This window comes from Homo sapiens, chromosome 12, assembly GCF_000001405.40.
Source record: "Homo sapiens chromosome 12, GRCh38.p14 Primary Assembly".
Lineage (NCBI taxonomy): Eukaryota > Metazoa > Chordata > Mammalia > Primates > Hominidae > Homo > Homo sapiens.
Genome location: NC_000012.12, coordinates 75,196,816 through 75,216,911, shown reverse-complemented (window position 1 = coordinate 75,216,911; position 20,096 = coordinate 75,196,816). Strand labels below are relative to the sequence as shown.

Here is a 20,096-nt window from a genome sequence, read left to right as displayed (position 1 = left end):
CAATTGGGATACATTAAATTTGGTATTTATTTTTTGTCATGTCGATTATCTTCTATTTTCTATGCAAATCGTGGTTCTGCATATATTCAAATCACAGCTCTGCTGTTTACTCTTTGACCAGGATACAGGCATTAGAATTAAACACCTGTGGGTTTGAACACTACCAGCTGTCTCTTATTAGCTATGTGAACTTGGGCAAGTTTTTCTACAATTTCAGCGTCAGCTTCCTCTTTGGAAAACACCAGTAAAAATGATAGGTTGATGATAAAATGGGTTAAATCCAAAGCTCTTGGCATTTTATTTTGCACTTAAGTACTTAAGTTTTAACTGCTGCAATTACAGTAATACTGTTCTCTTCATTAATCTGACAATCCTTTGCCAAATATAAAAAAATGATATTTCAGTATTTTCTTGGTAGACCTATTATAATAAATAATGAAATAATACATACAGATACAGTGCCTGGAATTACAGTTTTTCCTTAATAAATGTTAGTTCTCTTTTTGCCTCACTCCTCCCTAACATTTTCTGCAGATGGTATGTTCAGGTAATGTCTTCTCATATTTTATAAATATTTGCTTTAATGCAACTTCCTATAGACAGTGTTTCATAAAATATATGATACTTTTTAAAAACAGACTTACAATTTTTTGCACCAAACCACTGAATCAAAATCTCAGGGTGAAGATTTTTGCATTTTAAAAACCTTCTCAGGGGATGTGATGTGATGTATTTCCAAGCATAGAACTTTCCTATGGCTGAGAGGTCATCAGAAAATATAGATAGAGCAGATCTACAGAGTTTACAATGTGATAGAGTAAGCCATACACTTACTCTATAAATAATGAAATAATTAGCAGTAGAAGGAGGTAAAGTACTAAAAGTACAGGTTATACAATTATTCAGATATTCAAGTGTCATAGTTATCATCCATGATCTGTAGAGGAACAAGAAGAACAAGAAACTAGAGTATGCTTTATTGATATCTGCCAATGATTTAACCCTTAGTGTTAGGACAATCCCCCCAGGAAAATCTGCTCATTTTGCCCCCTTTGTAAATTACAATGACCTCAGATAGTGTGATATGAATAATGAGCTGCTCTATTTTCTAAAGTCTGTCTGTCTGTCTCTCTTTCTCTGCATCCATCCACCTACTATCTATCTATCTATCTATCTATCTATCTATCTATCTATCTATCTATCTATCCGTCTATCTATCCATCCTGTCTATCATCTATTTATCTCTATTTTTCATTTATCTTTATCTATTTAAATGAATGACTGGTGAAGAAGGCTATGACCAAGAATTGTTTTTCAAAGCAAGGCTACTTTCAACTCTTACTTTTAATGCTTACCAATCAACATCATCTTATATTTAGAGAAATTTGTTTTTCTCTTTCTTTAATCTAAAATGCCTTTTTGCAGCACTCTTACATATCAATTTTATAAGTATACAGCAAGCTTAAATTGACTAAACATCTATGTTATTATGCTAGATATTTATGCAGAGCCTCTGCAAATATGTATTTCTTACAAACCCAATGGTCAAGTTGTAAAATTAGTAATCCATGAATTCATCATATGTAGGTCTATTTTATTATAATCATCACAAAAATAGTTGATCCTTGAACAACATGGGCTTGAACTGTGCAGGCCCACTCATACATGGATTTTCTGTCACCTTTGCCACCCCTGTGACAGTAAGACCAACTTTTTCTCTTGCCCCTCCTCCCCAGTCCACTCAACATTAAGGTGGTTAAGATGAATACCTTTATGATGATTCGCTTACACTTAATAAATGGTAAATATATTTTTTATTCCCTATGATTTTATTAATAACATTTTTTCTCTAACTTACTTTATTGCAAGAATATATAATGCAGATAACATTCAAAATATGTGTTAATTGACTGCCTTATTGGTAAGCCTTATGGTCAACAGTAGGCTAGTAAAGTTTTTAGAGAGTCAAAAGTTATGTATAGATTTTCCACCGTGTAGGGATCAGTGCCCCAATCTCTGTATTATTCAAGCATCTACTGTAATTAGTTTGGGTAAGAAAAGAGTGTATTGCGTAAATGCCGTGGTCTTAATATGTCCCCTCAAATGCGTGTGTTAGAAACTTGATCCCCAGTGTGGCCGTGTTGGGAGGTGAGACTTGGGATGTTCTTAGGTTATGAGTGCACCACCTTCATAAATGGAATAATGCTGTTATAAAAAATTTCAGGAGGAGGTTCTCTCTCTCTTCTGCAATGTGAAGACAAAGAATTTGTCCTTCTCTTGTCCTGCTGCCTTCCACCATCTGAGGATGCAATAAGAAGACCCGTACCAGGTGTTGGCACTTTGATCTTTGTCTTTCTAGCTTCCAGAGCTGTGAGGGAGTACATTTCTGTTTTTATAAATTACCCAGTCTTAATTATTTTGTTATAGTAGCACAAAATGGACTAAGACAATGTAGTAGCTCATTTAAAGATGGTTAGTACATAAATATATACACATTAATATATATACATAAATATATACTATATATTATAATATCTAATACTGTATATGTATATGTATATATATATTTGAGATGGAGTCTTGACCTGTCACCCAGGCTGGAGTGCAATGGCGTGATCTCGGCTCACTGCAACCTCCATCTCCCAGGTTAAAACGATTCTCCTGCCTCAGCCTCCCAAGTAACTGGGATTACAGGTGCCCGCCACCACGCCCAGCTATTTTTTGTATTTTTAGTAGAGACGGGGTTTCACCATGTTGGCCAGGATGGTCTCAGATTCCTGACCTCATGATCTGCCCACCTAGGCCTCCCAAAGTGCTAGGATTACAAGTGTGAGGCACCATGCCCAGCCCATATATTTTTAAGTAAAAATAATTTGAGAAGAATGGAGATTTATTACAAGGATTAAAACATTGCACTTTCACTACATTTATGAGGAATATTAAGTATTTGAGCTAGTTTTGACCTCTATGCAAGGCAATATGGTATGACAGAAGTTAGGATGGTTATCAGAGGATATGGAACATGGTCCTGTTTCTGCCAATTATTAACTACTTGAGTTGAGGCTGAGACTTTTTTCTCATTTGACAATAAAAACTACCAATTAGTAGATGCCTAAAATGTGTCAGAAATATTTCTAAGGCCTTACAGGCCTTTTGTCATTTAATACTCATAGCTAGTATAGTGTCATCAAAAACTAAGGCTGAAGGAGTTGTGCAGCTTTCTCCAGGTGAGACATCTAGTGAATGACACCCAGAAGATAAATTCTATTTTATTTGTCTCCAAGGCCTGTGTAATTAACCACTGTAAAGAATGCTTAGCAAGAACGTATGAAATTGAGAAAAATATATATCAGATACTGTTTTTCTTTTTGAATTCACAGTACATAATACAAATGTTAGTTATTGTAAAGAGGGCAGATATGTAGGTTCATATTATTACTTTTTGAGCAAAAGAAATTTAGAGTATTAATCAGTAATACCAAACCATTCCCAAATTTCATAGCTTAACTATAGTCTTTTATTTAGCTCGTGATTCTGTAGGGCAGTGCATTTGGGCTGGACAGCTCTAGACAGATGAATAAGAGGAAGGAAGACAGTTTTCTACTTTTGGAAACCAGCTGGCTATCATATGGGGGCAGAAATGAGAAGTTTAGCTGTTTTGAGATACAACTTATTAATTTTATGGATAATCCTCTATTATGTCCTCTGAGTTGGCTCCTAATACCATTTCTTATTGTACGGAAAGTGTGTGTGTGTGTGTGTGTGTGTGTGTGTGTGTGCATGACTGTCATATATGTCTTTCATCATGAGGTCAACTAGTTAAGACTTATTTTCATAGTATCAGGATACAGTTCCAAGAAAGAGAGAGGAAGGTAGAGAGAGAGAGAGAGCAAGAATGTAGAAGCATACTAGACCATTTGAAGCCTGGGTTTGGAACTGGTACATAATCACTTCCATTCCATTCTATTGGCCAAAGTAGGTTACAAAGTCAGCACAGATTCAAGAGCTGGAGAAACAGACTTGAAGGGAGAAGTTGCAAAGTCACATTATAAAGGGCCAAATCTGTAGGGAGCAATGAAAAATTGTGGCCATTCTTTAATCTACTGCAGAAAAATTTTGTTTGTGGATATATTACTTTTTGAGAGTGAACAATATATTTTTTTTAATTATACTTTAAGTTTTAGGGTACATGTGCACATTGTGCAGGTTAGTTACATATGTATACATGAGCCATGCTGGTGCGCTGCACCCACTAACTCGTCATCTAGCATTAGGTATATCTCCCGATGCTATCCCTCCCCCCTCCCCCCACCCCACAACAGTCCCCAGAGTGTGATATTCCCCTTCCTGTGTCCATGTGATCTCGTTCAATTCCCACCTATGGGTGAGAATATGCGGTGTTTGGTTTTTTGTTCTTGCGATAGTTTACTGAGAATGATGAGAGTGAACAATATTTTAAAAATCCTCACATTAGACTTTAGAAGAATTAAGTTGTTCAAATGCTAGACTTTTGCAAGTATGTCATTCTGACAGTCACAGTGTGGCTTCATGAGATCAATCCACGTTTCTGATGGTGACGTAGTGCTTAGTTTCTGTAGCCTTTCTGTGATGCTGACTCAAGAATTATAAAGCAAGCAGCATTTCAGTTGCTTCCCTGCAAGGGGTAATGTCCGTACAGTTTTCTAAATCCTTGCTCCACACAGACCACAAAGGAAACCACAAATGTTTTTCCCCCTCAGTTTTCCATTGCCATATTTCAAAGCTTTGCTTTCTTTTCACTTTTATCTGACTTTTACAGCAGGTTCAGTAAAGTTCATTGGCTGGAGGGGTTTTCTGTTCTCTCCTGTCTTATATAATGGAGCCTGGATATTTGTTTTAGGTTCTTCCCCTGTTCTATTGACCAGCAAAAAATAAAAGAGACTGTATTTTATTCCTTGCTTTGTGTATCAATTCTGCATTGACATGCACATCTCATCCTTTTATCTTTCCACATTCTTATTTTCAAACTTTTCTGACATGTTCTCTATATAATTCTTTTTGAATCACAAGAAAAGTCTGAGTTCTTCTGAACGATGATCCTCTTGTCAATGTGATTATTTCTAGATAGCTTATATAATATAACCTTACACCCAAACTGATTCATTAGATCTTTGTCTTTCCATTTTCCTCCCCATGAGTACTTTGCATTATCTTTTCCTTTCTTTTTGTTTTCTCTGTAGTTGTCTTATAATGCAACTAATATTATGAGACTAAAGGTTTTCATTACTGATTCCTATCATCTGTATGAGTTATCTTTTTACAGTCTTGCAATTTAATGTGAACATTCTCTCTATTTAAATTAAAAGGGGGTAATTTATGTGAAGCATTTTTAACATAGTAGGATCTCAGTAAATACCTATTATTATAAATGCTTCTGTTGCTATTACAGTTGTTAATTTATTCTAAAGCAAACCACATTCCCCCTTTTACCTACTGAATTTACATTAAGCAATATATGATACCATCTAGACAATGGAAGAATGACTGTTAGAAGGTGAATATACTTTTTCTTTGTAATTTTTCTGGCAATTGAAATTTATTATCATTATTATTTTTGGAAATACCTCAGTGATTGATAATTGTACAAAATTAAAATAATTTTCTTCACATTAAAGCCTTATACATTTTTGTGTGTGTTAGTAACTCACATGCTGGGTACACATTGTCTTTACACATTTACTGTAAAATTGTCAGTAATTTAAAAAATAAATGTATATATTACATCTTTTGCATTTATTTTCTAGACATCAATGACCTTCCAAAGACCTTTTGGTTCTCTACTTTGTTAACCTATTTAATGTGTCATAACAGATAGACGTTTATTTGGTGAATTCACATTTTACTACCTGTCTTATCACTCTCTATATTGCTAAAATTTTCTTATTAATAACTCACAAATCTTGCTTTTTCTAAGCCATAGTATCATATCAATACCTGTTTATCAAAGAAATCTTCTTCCACAGAGGACCTGGTGTTTTCCTTACTGGGTGGACTTCAATTCTAACAAACTATGCCTGTAGAATAGTGTCTGCCTTCCTTCTTTTTCTTTCTTTCTTTCTTTCTTTCTTTCTTTCTTTCTTTCTTTCTTTCTTTCTTCTTTCTTTCTTTCTTTCATGGAATATGCACACAGATACACACATGTGCACGCACACACACACACACACACACGATCTGTTTGGTGATGAGGCCTGTTATAGGTTGAATAGTGCCCCTTCCCCTCATAAAAATTGTATTGGAGTCCTAACTTTCAGTACTTCAGAATGTAACCTTGTATGGAGATAGAATCTTTATAGAGATAGTGAAGTTGAAATGGGGTCATTTATGGCGGGCCCCAATCTAATATAACTGATATCCTTATAAAAAGAGGATGTTTGGACACAGAGACAGATATGCATGGAGAGAAAATAGTCAGAAGAGGCACAGGGAGAAGATGCCCATCTACAAGCCAAGGAGAGAGGACTGGAACATATTCTTCCTCCACAACCCTCAGAAGAAGCCAACCCTAACAACACCTTAATTTTGTATTTGAAACTGGCAGAACCATGAGACAATACATTTCTGCTGTTAAGCCACCCAGTTTGTCATACTTTCTTATGGCAGCCCTAGCAAACTAATACAAGGGGCAATGAAAACTTGAGAAAGGGTGAAATTGGCTTATTAAAAAATTACTTGGATACTTGGGTATCTGTGGATTTTCTCTTCAGCTTCAGACAAAAAGAAACCCTGGAGCTTGTACTTTGTAAAGCACTATCTTCCTGGGATAAACTTCTAAAACTTGTTTTGCTTTAGATAACCGTGGTGTGGTGGCTGGAGACTGACATTTGATTTGAAAAAGCAAGCCAGAGCTATGCATAAGACATAAAAAACAATATTTACTGTCACCTGTTAGTAGACCTCTCTCTCCGGCCAACTGTCATTGAGAAAAAAAAAATGCAATTGGTTTTAGATTCTCTCACTTGTTGGGAGGGGTGGGGCATAGCGAGGGGTGGGGGGAGAGAGAGGGTGTGGAGAGTGGGGTGTAAATAAGGCAGGCAGAAGCTCCAGAGAGGGTGGAGACAGAGCTTCACGGAAGAAAAATATGTGAACCTGGTTGGTACACATAGCTTCTCCAGACCCACCCACCCACTCTTTCCTGAGCCCTGTGCTTCGGATGGCGGCGGGAGGTTGATGGCGAGTGGTGCTGAAGGGACAGCTCCAGCAGTGGCTGATTTGGGGGAGAAACAAAATCTGCAGATGGAATCCGAGCAGGGCGACTTCACCTTCAAGTGGTGAGCTCTCCTGACCTGCGGCCAGTCTCCACTCCATTCACGGCCAGCCGATCTGCCCGCTCCCGGAGGGGTCGGGCAGTGCCGGCTGGACCCGCCCCGAGCTCCATGGTTTGCCCAACCCTGCGCGATGGTGACTCTGGGCGCGGAGGTTGGCGACTGGCAAATCCGCAGATCACAGAATGAAGGCGGGGAGCGCGGCCGGCGGCCGGCGGGGGCTTTCTCCCCCACCCCAGCGCCCAGGGAAGCGGCTCAACCACCTGAATCCGGAAAACGCCAACAAGTAGTTTCTCGTCGGAGAAGGGCGGCTCACCTGGGCGCCAAGACTCAGTCCCGCTGCCCAGAGAACCTCGTCCACTCGGAAACCAAAGCAGAACCACTTTTCTCTCGGTCTCGTTAAGGTATCTGGAAATGGGGGCGGGGGTGGTGAAAGGGGCGATTTCCTGGAAAGGGCATGTTGACCCTGCAGGCCAGCATCCCCCCGCTCCGCCTTTCCGCAATAGGAATGTAGAGATGAAGCCCTGGGGAGAGGTGGCTGGGAGGCTGGAAACAGGGACACTGTCAGCGAGACTTTCAGCTCAGGGACCCAGGGGGTGTGCCTCCAAGCAGCTTTTCCCCGAGCCTCGCCCCTCCTAGAAAGCAAATCCCCCACCCTCCACCCACTAAGGGATTTGTTTTTCTTGGGAAGGGGGATGGGTGGGATGCATTGATCACTTCTATTCTTAAAGATGGATCTTAGTTAGTTGTTTCCTTTCCCAAGTAATAATAATATCAACAACAATAATAATAATAACGTGAAAAGGAAATCGAATGAGGAAATAAGTCAGAGGTCTCCTAGGTGAAAAGCAACAGCAGAGATTTTTTTTTTCTCTGACTTCTGTGTTGTCTTTTTGCTTGGTCTGTGAGCAGGTGTAGAGGTGATCCTAGAACAGGTTGCTCAGAAGGCACTCCCTGAGCGCTAGGGAGTAGAGAGGGGTCCGGGGTTGACCTAGGGTGGGTGTGGAATCCGGGCTCTTCACAGGGTGGGGGGAGGGTGTGCTCTCACCCAACACTGCCAAGTTGCCTGAGGAAAACTCCCTGCCTAAGAGAATTGCATCCAAGCTAGGGGAAGGGGAGAAAGAGGAGGGTCTTGGAGAGTGGGAATGAGAGGCCAACCAGGGGAGGAGGAGAGAATGGGGCAAAGGAGGGGGAGAAAGTAGGTTTAGAGGGAGAGAGAGTGTGTTTGGGGAGGCAGAGAGGGGGTTAGGGGCTGGGAGCAGGTTGGACTTGAGTGGGAACAGAAAAGAGGAAGAGTGGAAGGTGAAAAGATGAAGGTGAAGAGATCAGAGCCAAAAGAAAGGAAAGCGGGAGGCAGGGAAAACGGTGTCATGAAAGGTCAAGAAAGACTAGGACTGCTATCTCTGTAGTTCTCTGGAAACCTGGGAAAGGTTTGATGCAAGAGGCGGGGACAGCGCTGGACGCTGATCCCCTCCCGGGGAGGGTCTTTGCCCCGTGCCTGTCTGCCAACTCTGCATCCCTGGACTCGCTCTGGGTTGGTGGTGGGGGTCATGGTGTGTCTTTGACGGCTAAGATCTTTAACTCGGCGCTGTGTTTGCCTCCCCCTAGTCATGTCTGAGTCACAGAGATGGGCAAGATCGAGAACAACGAGAGGGTGATCCTCAATGTCGGGGGCACCCGGCACGAAACCTACCGCAGCACCCTCAAGACCCTGCCTGGAACACGCCTGGCCCTTCTTGCCTCCTCCGAGCCCCCAGGCGACTGCTTGACCACGGCGGGCGACAAGCTGCAGCCGTCGCCGCCTCCACTGTCGCCGCCGCCGAGAGCGCCCCCGCTGTCCCCCGGGCCAGGCGGCTGCTTCGAGGGCGGCGCGGGCAACTGCAGTTCCCGCGGCGGCAGGGCCAGCGACCATCCCGGTGGCGGCCGCGAGTTCTTCTTCGACCGGCACCCGGGCGTCTTCGCCTATGTGCTCAATTACTACCGCACCGGCAAGCTGCACTGCCCCGCAGACGTGTGCGGGCCGCTCTTCGAGGAGGAGCTGGCCTTCTGGGGCATCGACGAGACCGACGTGGAGCCCTGCTGCTGGATGACCTACCGGCAGCACCGCGACGCCGAGGAGGCGCTGGACATCTTCGAGACCCCCGACCTCATTGGCGGCGACCCCGGCGACGACGAGGACCTGGCGGCCAAGAGGCTGGGCATCGAGGACGCGGCGGGGCTCGGGGGCCCCGACGGCAAATCTGGCCGCTGGAGGAGGCTGCAGCCCCGCATGTGGGCCCTCTTCGAAGACCCCTACTCGTCCAGAGCCGCCAGGGTAAGGCCAGAATCGACCCCTTCCCTGCTGCTTCAACTTCTCCCAACTCCCTCCCCAACTTTCTGTTCTTTTCCACCCCAGGGCCTCAGGCATGGGGGGTAGAAGAGACCCGGGATTTCCTAGCGATACAGTTAGAGGCTCATCCTTTGCAGGGTAAACCCAGGGACCCCGGCCACCATCCCTACCCAGTCCCATCTTTCTCCTCCTCCTCTTCTCCCAACTCAAACAGATTTGCTTTAGCAGATGGGACCTAGAGGGCCAATGTCGACTTTTCTGTGCACGTCTTTGGACCCTGTCCTGAAACGGGTATGAGGATTCATCTCGAGTTTCTCCCTCACTCCTTTGTTCTAACTTTTCCTTTAGCTCAGATCTCTCTTCTGGCCTCCTGGTCATCCCTATTTGACATTTTCAGTGAGGCCCCCTTCACATCTGACTCACCCAGAGCCGTGGCTCCAATTGGGGGTTGAATCTGAGGACAGAGGAAGGGGAAATGGAATGTATCTATGTGTCTGGGGAGGTGGAGGGAGGAAAGGTTTGCCTGGAGGTTTATGTTGTGAAGAGAATCTCCAGAACGTTGTTTGGGCCTGTCACTTTCCAAGGGAGACGAATACTAGGATTGTTTCCGTGAGTTGACCAGAGAGCCCACTTACACACAGAATTTTGAGCCTCGTCCCTTTTGCTTAGGGCTGTATCTCTGATCCTTACAGGTTGAACATACATTAACCACTTTGGTGATCCTAGTTCTCTAAATCTGAGTAATTTAGATTGGAGCAAACTTTATTTTACTTTTAATATTGTGATTTCAGCCTCAGTGTTCTTTTTCGGGTTCTAGTTTAAATGACAGCTCAACTTTAATCCTTGACATTCCCAATTAATTCTTCAAAATCTCATGAAGAGATTATAAAAGTAACCAATAATGATTTCTCTGGTTGAAAGGAAATAAAGACATATAAATAACCAAAAATTATACAGTATGTGAATGGTTTTTAATTATATATGAGAACAAAGTACTGTATTCAGTTAAATCTTTGCAACTGCATGTGTCTGGTTTGCTTCCGACACCCAGAAAAGACACCCCATGGGCAGAATGGGAATTCTCCCAACTTTACTTTGGCTCTATCTTCATTATTTTCTTCCTCTGTATGTCAGAAGTGTCTGCATCTGAGACGTTATGCAGCTATCTACTAATTTGTCAGAAGATGTGCTACTGATAACACTTTGGAAGTCTGTGGACGTGTTTTGTTTTCAGTGTGAAATAGAATATGAAAGAGACAATTTAAAGCATTGCTACTCCTTTAGACTTGGTATTTAAATGCATACATAAATTCTAACATGCCTGCATACACATATTTGAACATAGAATTAGTAGCTTCAACTTGGAAATCTTTTTTTTTTTTTTTCAGGCCATGCCATAAATTCAACAACAGAGTTGGCATTCAGGAAAAAAAAAAAAAAAACCCAAACCAACCAAACAAAACCGCAAGTGCATATTCATTTAAATTAAACCACAGGCTCATGACCATTACATCTGTGCATCTGTGTTTTTTGGATTCCAGCTGAGTGTTATGGAGCTCTTTCCACTTGGTGGCTAAAAAGATAATCTGAATTTGTTTTCAGGCCCATCATGTGATTCTTTTTTTCCAGATCATGTGCTACAAAAGGACATAATGTTTTACTATTTTTCCTTATGATAACATAATACATCTTATTGTAGGCCAGATTGCATAGCAAAAACTTTAAGAAGGTGTTCAACTTTTATCATTGCCATGAAATTTGATTCTATAGTTTATTGATCAAAAGGATAAACCATTGACTTGAAAATTGTGTTTAAAAAGCATTTACTACGATATTTCTTTATAATACTCTTGAGACTTTGATCTGCATCTGTTTTGGTGAGAAAAGAATACACCAAAATTGAGATTAAAACAAGGTCAAAGAGCAAGTAGAAGCAGAATCAGCTAAGAATCATAGACCTGAAAAATTTATTTGAGGTCACGTTTAGTCAAGACCCTTTATACTGTAGATGAGGGAAATGAAGACTGCAGATGCTAAGTGATGGCCAAGGTTATACATCAAGTTAATAGCAAAGCCAAAGTTATCCCAGAGGTCTCATGACACTCTCCTCAGGCCCTTTCTAGCAAAACTACTGATTATAACTGGACTGGATTGTGAAATCTCTGCAGATCACATTGGTCTTGAGATTTAATGCGGCATAAGACATTCACTAGGGTCCTAACTGTGAAAGGTCATCTATGACTTTTAAAATATATGTATTCCAGGACTTTCGCTCCTGGAATTTTTACCCTTTACCACCCAACAGTAGAATAAAAATATGGGACTTGAATTAACTTCTTAAAAAGAATCCTGTTTGAACTTTCCATTTTTATTGACCAGTCAGGGTTTAATATTTGGCTTTCTTTTGTGGGTCTTGTCTTCAGGGAAATCCCTTTTCAAATTCCTAGGGGTTGGCTGAAAAAAAGTAATCATAAGTCACCATTCTATTTAAAAGTGACTTAATATTTTTACCTGAGCACTTTTAGTTAAGATGATAACCTGACAACGTTATCTGACTAGTTTGAAAAATAGAATCATATGTGGAGGCCACAAGTTGAAATTATATTTTGCATCGACACAATTCGAGGAAACATAAAACATTTATCAAGTGGTTTGCTTCAGTTCTTATTATCATGAGTCTCATTCTTAATAGAAGTATTTAAACTTTTATAAACACTCTTATTTTTTAACATTAGCTCATCTTTCATTGAAATATTTGACACAAAAAATTTTAACTCTCTAAATTTCCCTTTTCAACTCATTATACCTGTTTCACAATTTTCTTTTTTCTCCAATATTGAAAGGATTGGATCAGTTATATAATAGATGTGCTTTGTTTGTAATTTTTGTGATTTAAATGGCAGACAAAACAACGGTGATAGGAACTGAATAATTAATTGAATTTTGCAACCCTGCATTTTTGCCTTTTGTTTTGGTTGGCATGTCCCTCTCCTCTGTGATTTTTAATTTATGAAGTAAATACGTATATGAGGGGTCTATATTGTTGTATTTCAATTGGTAAATAAGTGTATATTTTATACATTTAAATTCTTATTCTTAAGAATAGTATTCAAAAATAGAAATTTATAAAAATTCAAATATAAGTTGTCATGGAAACCTGTTGTGGAGAAAACGAGATCAGGAAAAAAATGAGAGTTTATTTTGTTGATGCTAGTGAGTGATATTTACAAACAGTAAAAAACAAGGATGCATAAATATATTTGTAAAAATGTGATGCACTGTATATTTTCAATTTAATGTGTAAGTGTTAGAAAAACATGAAGCTTGTATGTGCTTTCCTTTGAAGAATGTATCATATATAAGAGGACAGGTACCAAGCAGAAATTCCTTGATAGAGTTTCTAGATTTTTAGAAGTTTTTAAAAATCACATAAGGACAAAATACTAAAATAAAAGACAATTTTGAAGAATCTGTTTGGAATATTAAACAGCTGAGAGCAGTTATAAGTTTCTCTTTCTCTTCTTTTCACTTATATTTTTTATAGGGTAGGGGAGATGATTGAATTCAGCTCTGTTTTAGAATGTTGGCTCTTCCTTGGTGATTTATGCATATCTTTGATTACTTGGCAGATCTTCTGTTTTTTACTTTTAAAGCACATTTTAGAAAAGAAAAAACAAAATAATAACTGCCATGGAACCCCACTTAAGATGTTGCCTTTTTGATGTGTTTCTAGCTCTTTCACATACATTCCCCTGACCTTTATCTCATTTACTGTTGTTGAAATACAATATGGGTTGTATCTCATATACGATCCTTCTGCATCATACAGGGATTGTGATAGCGAATCTATCATTTTTTAAATCTTGAAAATATTCATATTATTAGCATTATAGATTACTTCTACAGCATTACCAAAACGTACTCCGTAGAAGCCATTAAAATGGAAATTTTAATTTCTAGCATTAGACTCAAATTTGCAAATATTTAATTTACTTTGTATGGGCCACTTTTTCCTCTTCGCCAAGCCACAAAACAAAACAAGAAAGACATGATCTAAATAAACATTTGCTAGTATTAAATGTAGCACTTGATTTTTAAAAATTATAATAAGGTATAGGAACAATTTGAATCATATATTAAGATTAAAGGAAGAAAATGTATTAAGTCTTGTTTTGTAAGAGTGGTTCTAATTAAAAGAATTAATGGCTAAATATAGCTTATTCATAAAATATTGTTGTCAATTATTAAAATTTTAGAAAGCACATTTATTCAATGAATATTGATTACACAGTCACTGTAGACTGAAAACTATGAAAAGTACTGGGAATGCATGGAGAAGATATAATCCTTTGCCTTCAATGAGCTCACCTCTCTATTTGTAATAAAACGTTTCCTAAAGGCATTATCTATTAAATTAAAAAAAAACAAGATTATGGCAAATAAAATTCTAGAGGTGTTAAAAATACATTTTCCTAAAAAAAAAAAACTCACATAGGAATATTGCCTGACACATGCAGTAAAATATTCCTTTTAGAAATGATGATGTTAAGGTATTATTGGTCTTTATTTTATTACAAAATATTAGGCTCTTAAATTCTTTATTTTTCTGTTTTCACAATGACTTACAGGCTCTCTCCTTACAATATAATGAAGACTGTACTTATACCAAACAACAATTGAGCTATTTGGAGGTGTGGCCAAGTTTCTTTCATTATTTCTATTTAATTAAAAGTCATGGCCAACATCATGACAATGCATACCCAAACTTCATATTCCTCAAAAGAGTCTGCTATAATAGTCCAGTGTGTTTGCACTTTCCACCTAAGCATTGAAGTGTCTTTTGACCTTTTCAGGGTCAAAAGGCTTATAAATAAATTTAATTTTATGCTTATAGTCTAAGCATTGGATAGAATCAGAGAGTACCTGATTAATAGATCACTAAAATAATCAAGTAAATTTAATTGCCAACTAAATATACATACAAGTGATATACATATGAGGTGGCCTGATTTATGGTTGGACATTAGGTGTGCAAAAAGTGAATATAGTTGGATAGATTAGGTATGATCTCTTCTGTAATATTTTGCTAAGAGCTCACTTGTAGACCTGAGTTGACAAAATTAAATAAAAGACAAGGAAAGTTTTTTATCTTTGTCAGTAAACTCATTTTCAAAGCAACTGAAAAGGAAGGTATAGATCAACCTTTTTGTAGATTTTGCATTTGAAAATGTTTATCATTGCCATCAATTTTTACTATGACAAATAAAGTAAATGTCATTTTCAAGTATTGTATTCTTTGAACTTCTGAGCCATGTATTCTTTTTATTGTGGGAACCTTTAGAAATGTGTCTAAATAAAATAGTAAAGGGCATTAAAGATAAACACAGACCTGTAGAAGAAAATATATAGTGGAAAAATAGTCTAAAAAATAACCTTCAATATATTCCATAAACTTAATTCAATTCTGGTTGAAATATGAAGGGCTTTTCTTCGAGAAGAGCAGTCAAAATATTCTTTTAAGACAGAAAAGCACTGCTTTTTTGCCTTCCGTGCAGGTTGAGGGATGGTAATAATCCTAACACGGTGTAGTCAATATTTTCATAGAAAGTGAATAGAATGTGAGTGTTGGGAGGAGAACAGAGCAGGACTGGATATTATGTGGAAAAAGAATTGAAAAATGCCTGAATTGAGACCTAAGAGACCTACGCTCCAGTCTTGATTTCAACACTAGTTGTGTGAACTTGGAGAATTTACTTCATCTTCCTAAATCTTGATTTCCTTTGCTTTATTCTGAAAAATAAAACCCAAACATTGAGATGACACATTGGACTAGATAGTATCTAAACTTCAGCTCTAAAATTTTGAGATTTGTAGGATAATTATTGCTAAAGATTCTGGGGGAGAGAGGAAGGGACGACATGTTCATGCCCATTCAGATTGCACTCCAAGGACCATCACACTAATAAAGTAAACCAGAATCTGGTTTTTTTTTTTTTTTTTTTTTTTTTTTTTTTTTTTTCCAATTTCGTTTGTAACTTTCTGCCCTTTTTTTTCCCTACAGCTGTTGGGTAGCTACTGCTGTGGTTACCATAGAAACAGGTTAGCTCCCAGCTTCCTGTTTCCATTGAAAACAGCTTTCTCTCAACCACATATTGATCTCAGGAAATCATTTTGCTGTGGCTCTGTCATGAAACCCATGAAGATGTTCAGCTCTGTCATTTCTTAGGTCTAAGATTCAGTGCAGGTGTATATCCAACCACCTGCAAGGGTAACCGATTAGATAATCTCAGTCGCATTTTCACTTGAAAAGTATCTTATCAACAACACCATGTTTTTCCCCTTTTCATATTTTATATAAAAGGGACAGTCTTATTCTCTTGAGGACTTACACTATGCCTAACATATTTAAGTGTTTACAAAATAGTGTCAAATTATTCAATTCTAATCTCTTCCATAACCCATTCTATTAGAATAAACGTAGAAAATAGTGTGCTGTCTAGCACACTTCATAAGTTAAAATTATATTTTGTTCATAATGTTCATTAAGATATATTTTAATGTGCTCACTAGTGAAGATTATTTTAAAATGAATGTGTATGTATAGTGTATAGTGCTCCATATTTCTGTTTTTAGAAAATCATTTTTCTATTTTTAGGGTATATGTATATACATAAAAAGAATATATATTCAAATATATATTCACTGTTGTAATACAGACACATACTCAGGGAACATGTTTGTAAAATTTGTATGTGGGTAAGAGATAGAATAGATTTGTGGGAATATGGCTTTAAGTTTTGTTTGAGAAGTGCGTGTGTGCATGTTATTATATGTGTCCAAAATATATATTATATTAGTGAAATTGGTGAAGAAATATGTGATAGACTTCTGGTGTTTATGCTGATTAGAACTGGAAGAAAATTGGCAATCATCTGGCACAACTGCCTCAATTCACAGAGAAGACAACTGACATGTTTCAGCCATGATAAGTTAACGACAATGGCAGGGCTAGTATTTAGATCTTGTGACTTCTGATTAAGTGTTCATTCTGTTCAATTTTGATTGCTTAGTTTATACTGTGTTTAACACTAAATGCACAAATTTTAGCTGTCGGGAAGCAGCAAGACTGTTAGGAAGGATAGGCTCTGATCCCTTCCATGTCTTATTGTTCAACAATATCAGAAATATGTCATTATTTTAGGGATTTGCCTTATTTTCAAGATTCCCTTCCAGTTGCAGTCTTCCATTGCTACCTTCCCCACTAGTTTTACATGTTATTGTCTTCCTAAAAAGCCTTAAAAATAGCCTGCTTATGCACTTAACCACTTTTTTTCCCTTCAGCTTGTAACACCTATGAGAAGACCTGCAGGAGCTTACCTCCCAAGCTGAGCCAGAAGATATTTAGATAATTAAGAAATGATACCTATTTTTCCTTTGGCCCTTTTGTGTATAAGTCTTTTATAATACGTTTTTCTACTTTTGTTTGATTTATTTATTTTTAATGCAACACTGGTTCAACCTATTGGCAATAGAACATCATCTTCTCAAATGTAAATAACCAGGTCATGGTGGGTTTTCCCAGGGATGACTGGTGAATTGAAGAGAAAAGCATTTAGAGCTATTGGAGATCTGCAAACAAAGTTAAATGTTGTTGTAAGGTCAGTAAATACAATACAGAAAAAACAATTTCCCTGAATATTCTTTAATGAACAGTAAGCCAAAGATGATGTGATGGGAATGTAAAGCAGTGTTGTAATTTGGGAGTGTCCTAGAAAATACATTTTATAGAAATCAAAGCAGAAGAACTTGGGGCAAAATGTTATGGGTAATGTTGGGCAAAAATACTCCATGATTACTGCAATTACTTGACTGGTCTTCTTTCCTGAAAGTTGATCATGATACCAACATCTTGCTAAACTGACATTTCCTCATTGTTTTATGTGTCCAGAAAATCTCATGCAGACACTTCAGTAGTGTCTCCTTCATTCTTTGTTTGAAGCCCCTGGTTGGTGTGCTATCAAATCTTAGAGGTTTGCCATTCTTCAACAATATCTGACTGTGCTGTAGACATCTTTAAAAATTGGAGCAAAGGCCAAGATAGTCTTTCTTGACAGTTTTTTCTGTAATTTAGTCTTAGCAGTAAAAGGTGTTTTCCTTTGAGTTGTCTCTATGATGAGAGACCTAGAAAGAAAAAGTAATCAACTTTTGGTTGCATAAATTCTCTTATTTTACACCAATATTTTATCCAGGATTTTAAAATTGTTTAGTAAATAATAAAATGCAAAGACATCTTTTATAAAATGTCGTGATTTAAATAATATTGCCCATATATTCAAATAATATTAATTGACTCTAAATATATATTACATGTTTATAAATTATGTTTAAGCAAAAACTATTTGGACCAATATAAATTTTTTTGAGTTTTTTGTCATTTTGTGCTCCATGAGAAGGCCAGACATTATTCAGAATTTATGTAAAATTTGTGTCTATGCTTGCAAATTATAGAATAGAAATTCAGATATGGGGTTCTTGATTTTGGTACTTTTAAGTTTATTGACTTAGGATTAAATGCTATTTGCTAAAAGTGAATATTGTATAATAATTGTACCGGAAATGATGGCATAATAATCATTGCAGTAACAAACTTCCTTACCGATGTTGATGTATTAATTTTTAGATAAAAGTAGTAAAATTGGTATTTAGGAAAATATAACAATAGTTATTACAGTTTGACTTATCATTTAAGTTGTTCTGCTTCTCTCTTTTAGGCTTCTTGTAGGAGCAATGAGAGGAATATTATGAAAGTTACTAGAATTCTCTTAATGCAACCAAGTAGACTGAGTAGGAAATGGGCAGAATAGAACCTTAACTGACTTTTCTCTGTACAAACAGAATCGAAAATAGCAGTTATCTTTAATTTTTTAAATATATTATAACTTTATAATTAGGCCTGAGTGAACCTATCACCATCATCTAAAATAATTAGTGGATGCGTCAAAGTTGAGCAACTTTCATATTTGTATCATTTGTGTATGCTGTATGCTTATGCTTAATTCCCAGGCACATAATGTTGACTGTAATTTGATACTTAGAATGCAATGCTAGAAATATAGAATTTAAGCAAACTAATAAGATCAAACATATTTTAATGTATTATTAGGCTTTAGTGACATTAAAAAATGATTAGACTTGATGCAAAAGCAGGATTGTCTTTAATTAATTGCCTCATGTTTTCTATAAATTTACTGTTTAATTCTTAATTGTAGTATGTACTTGCTATCAGTTGCAAGATTTTTTTAATTTAGTGAGTGTTTTAAAAAATCTGATTCTTTTTCAATTTTTTTCATCATTGATTCAATTCATCGCTGATTTATCTATCTTAGGTGATTTCTTAGTAATGTTTGTTTTTTAGATGTAAGTGCAGTTGTCAGAGTACTTGACTTTGTACTTCAACGCTGGGTTTCTTTATCACTATAGTCTTTTGTGTTTCCTCTACTTTGTCCACACTGATTGGATGATAAAGTAGCATGTTGTTGTCAGGATTTGTACATTCTCCTTTAACTAAACAAACTGGGAAAGAAAAAAAGCATCAGAGTTTCTAATGCTTTTGAATCTGTTAGTTGACAACTATTGAATTTCAACTGTTGGCCAGAACTAGGTTATGTTCTAAGAATGCAAAATGGATTAAAATTTAGCACTTGCCTTCGCAACACTTGTATTCAGTAGGAAAAGAAGAACTATAAATTCACAGTTATAGTGCACTAAGTGATATAGTAGAGACATTGATATAGTGTAGACCCACAGGTTAAGGAGGAAACAAAGATGACATTTTGGTTAACTCCCAGAAGATAAGTAGGCATTTTCCAAAAATCAAGGGGAAGGTCAGTGGAGTAGTGAGCAAACATGAAGGCTTAACGGGGAATATCATGTCATGTAACATTGAATAATAAAAAGATCTGAAGGCATGAAACATGGCAAAGACAGAATAACAGGCTTGAGAGAACAGGGAGGGTGGAAATTGGGAAGGAGGGGACCACTGGGCTTATATGTAAGATATCCTGCTTAGATGTAAGACTCTCAGTCCAGGACAGCAATGGACACTGTTTTATCAGTTTACTTAAAATTTGCAGTTCACAAATTTGAATGTGCCTATGAATCACCTAAGATGTTGACTAAAATTGTGCAACTCAGGTCTCACCCCAGAGATCCTCATTCAGTGGGATTTGGGTATGATTCATATCAGGTGAATGCACTTTGAGCACAGTTGGCTACTTGCTCACTATGTGCCAGTATTGTGCTACAACTGCAGAAAAAACAAATACAATTCAACAATGAATTAAGAGACAAATCAAGCTTAGACCAGTATTAGAACTGGTTACCTGTAGTTCAGCAGGATGTTAACAGGTGTTTTCTCTCAAAATACTTTCATGGATGGAAGAATTTGGAAAAAAGTTAAAAATAAA

The 20,096-nt window shown here is 37.5% G+C and overlaps 1 protein-coding gene across 28 annotated transcripts in view, besides 1 other annotated feature; it reads left to right on the top strand.

Moving 5' to 3' along the window:
* Window positions 1–7,072: 7,072 nt before the first annotated feature.
* Window positions 7,073–20,096, top strand: part of KCNC2 (potassium voltage-gated channel subfamily C member 2) — a 169,762-nt gene continuing 156,738 nt past the window's right edge. For 15 of the 28 annotated variants that reach the window (NR_182259.1, NR_182257.1, NM_001414199.1 and 12 more), the window contains exons 1-2: window positions 7,073–7,705; window positions 8,910–9,615. Coding sequence is in view for 26 of the 28 variants with exons in the window: in NM_001414199.1 (NP_001401128.1) it covers window positions 8,929–9,615 (687 nt within the window). In the remaining 2 variants the exon portion in view is untranslated. Of the gene's footprint in view, window positions 7,706–8,907; window positions 9,616–20,096 lie in introns of those variants that run through there. The other 13 variants (XM_047428818.1, XM_047428817.1, XM_047428810.1 and 10 more) reach the window with 1 other exon arrangement.
* Window positions 9,197–9,898: an enhancer, noted in NCBI's record as "H3K4me1 hESC enhancer chr12:75600794-75601495 (GRCh37/hg19 assembly coordinates)". NCBI's record gives its function as "activates a minimal SCP1, AML or CMV promoter by ChIP-STARR-seq in naive H9 embryonic stem cells {active_cell/tissue: H9 hESC(naive)}" and the evidence as "EXISTENCE:reporter gene assay evidence [ECO:0000049][PMID:30033119]".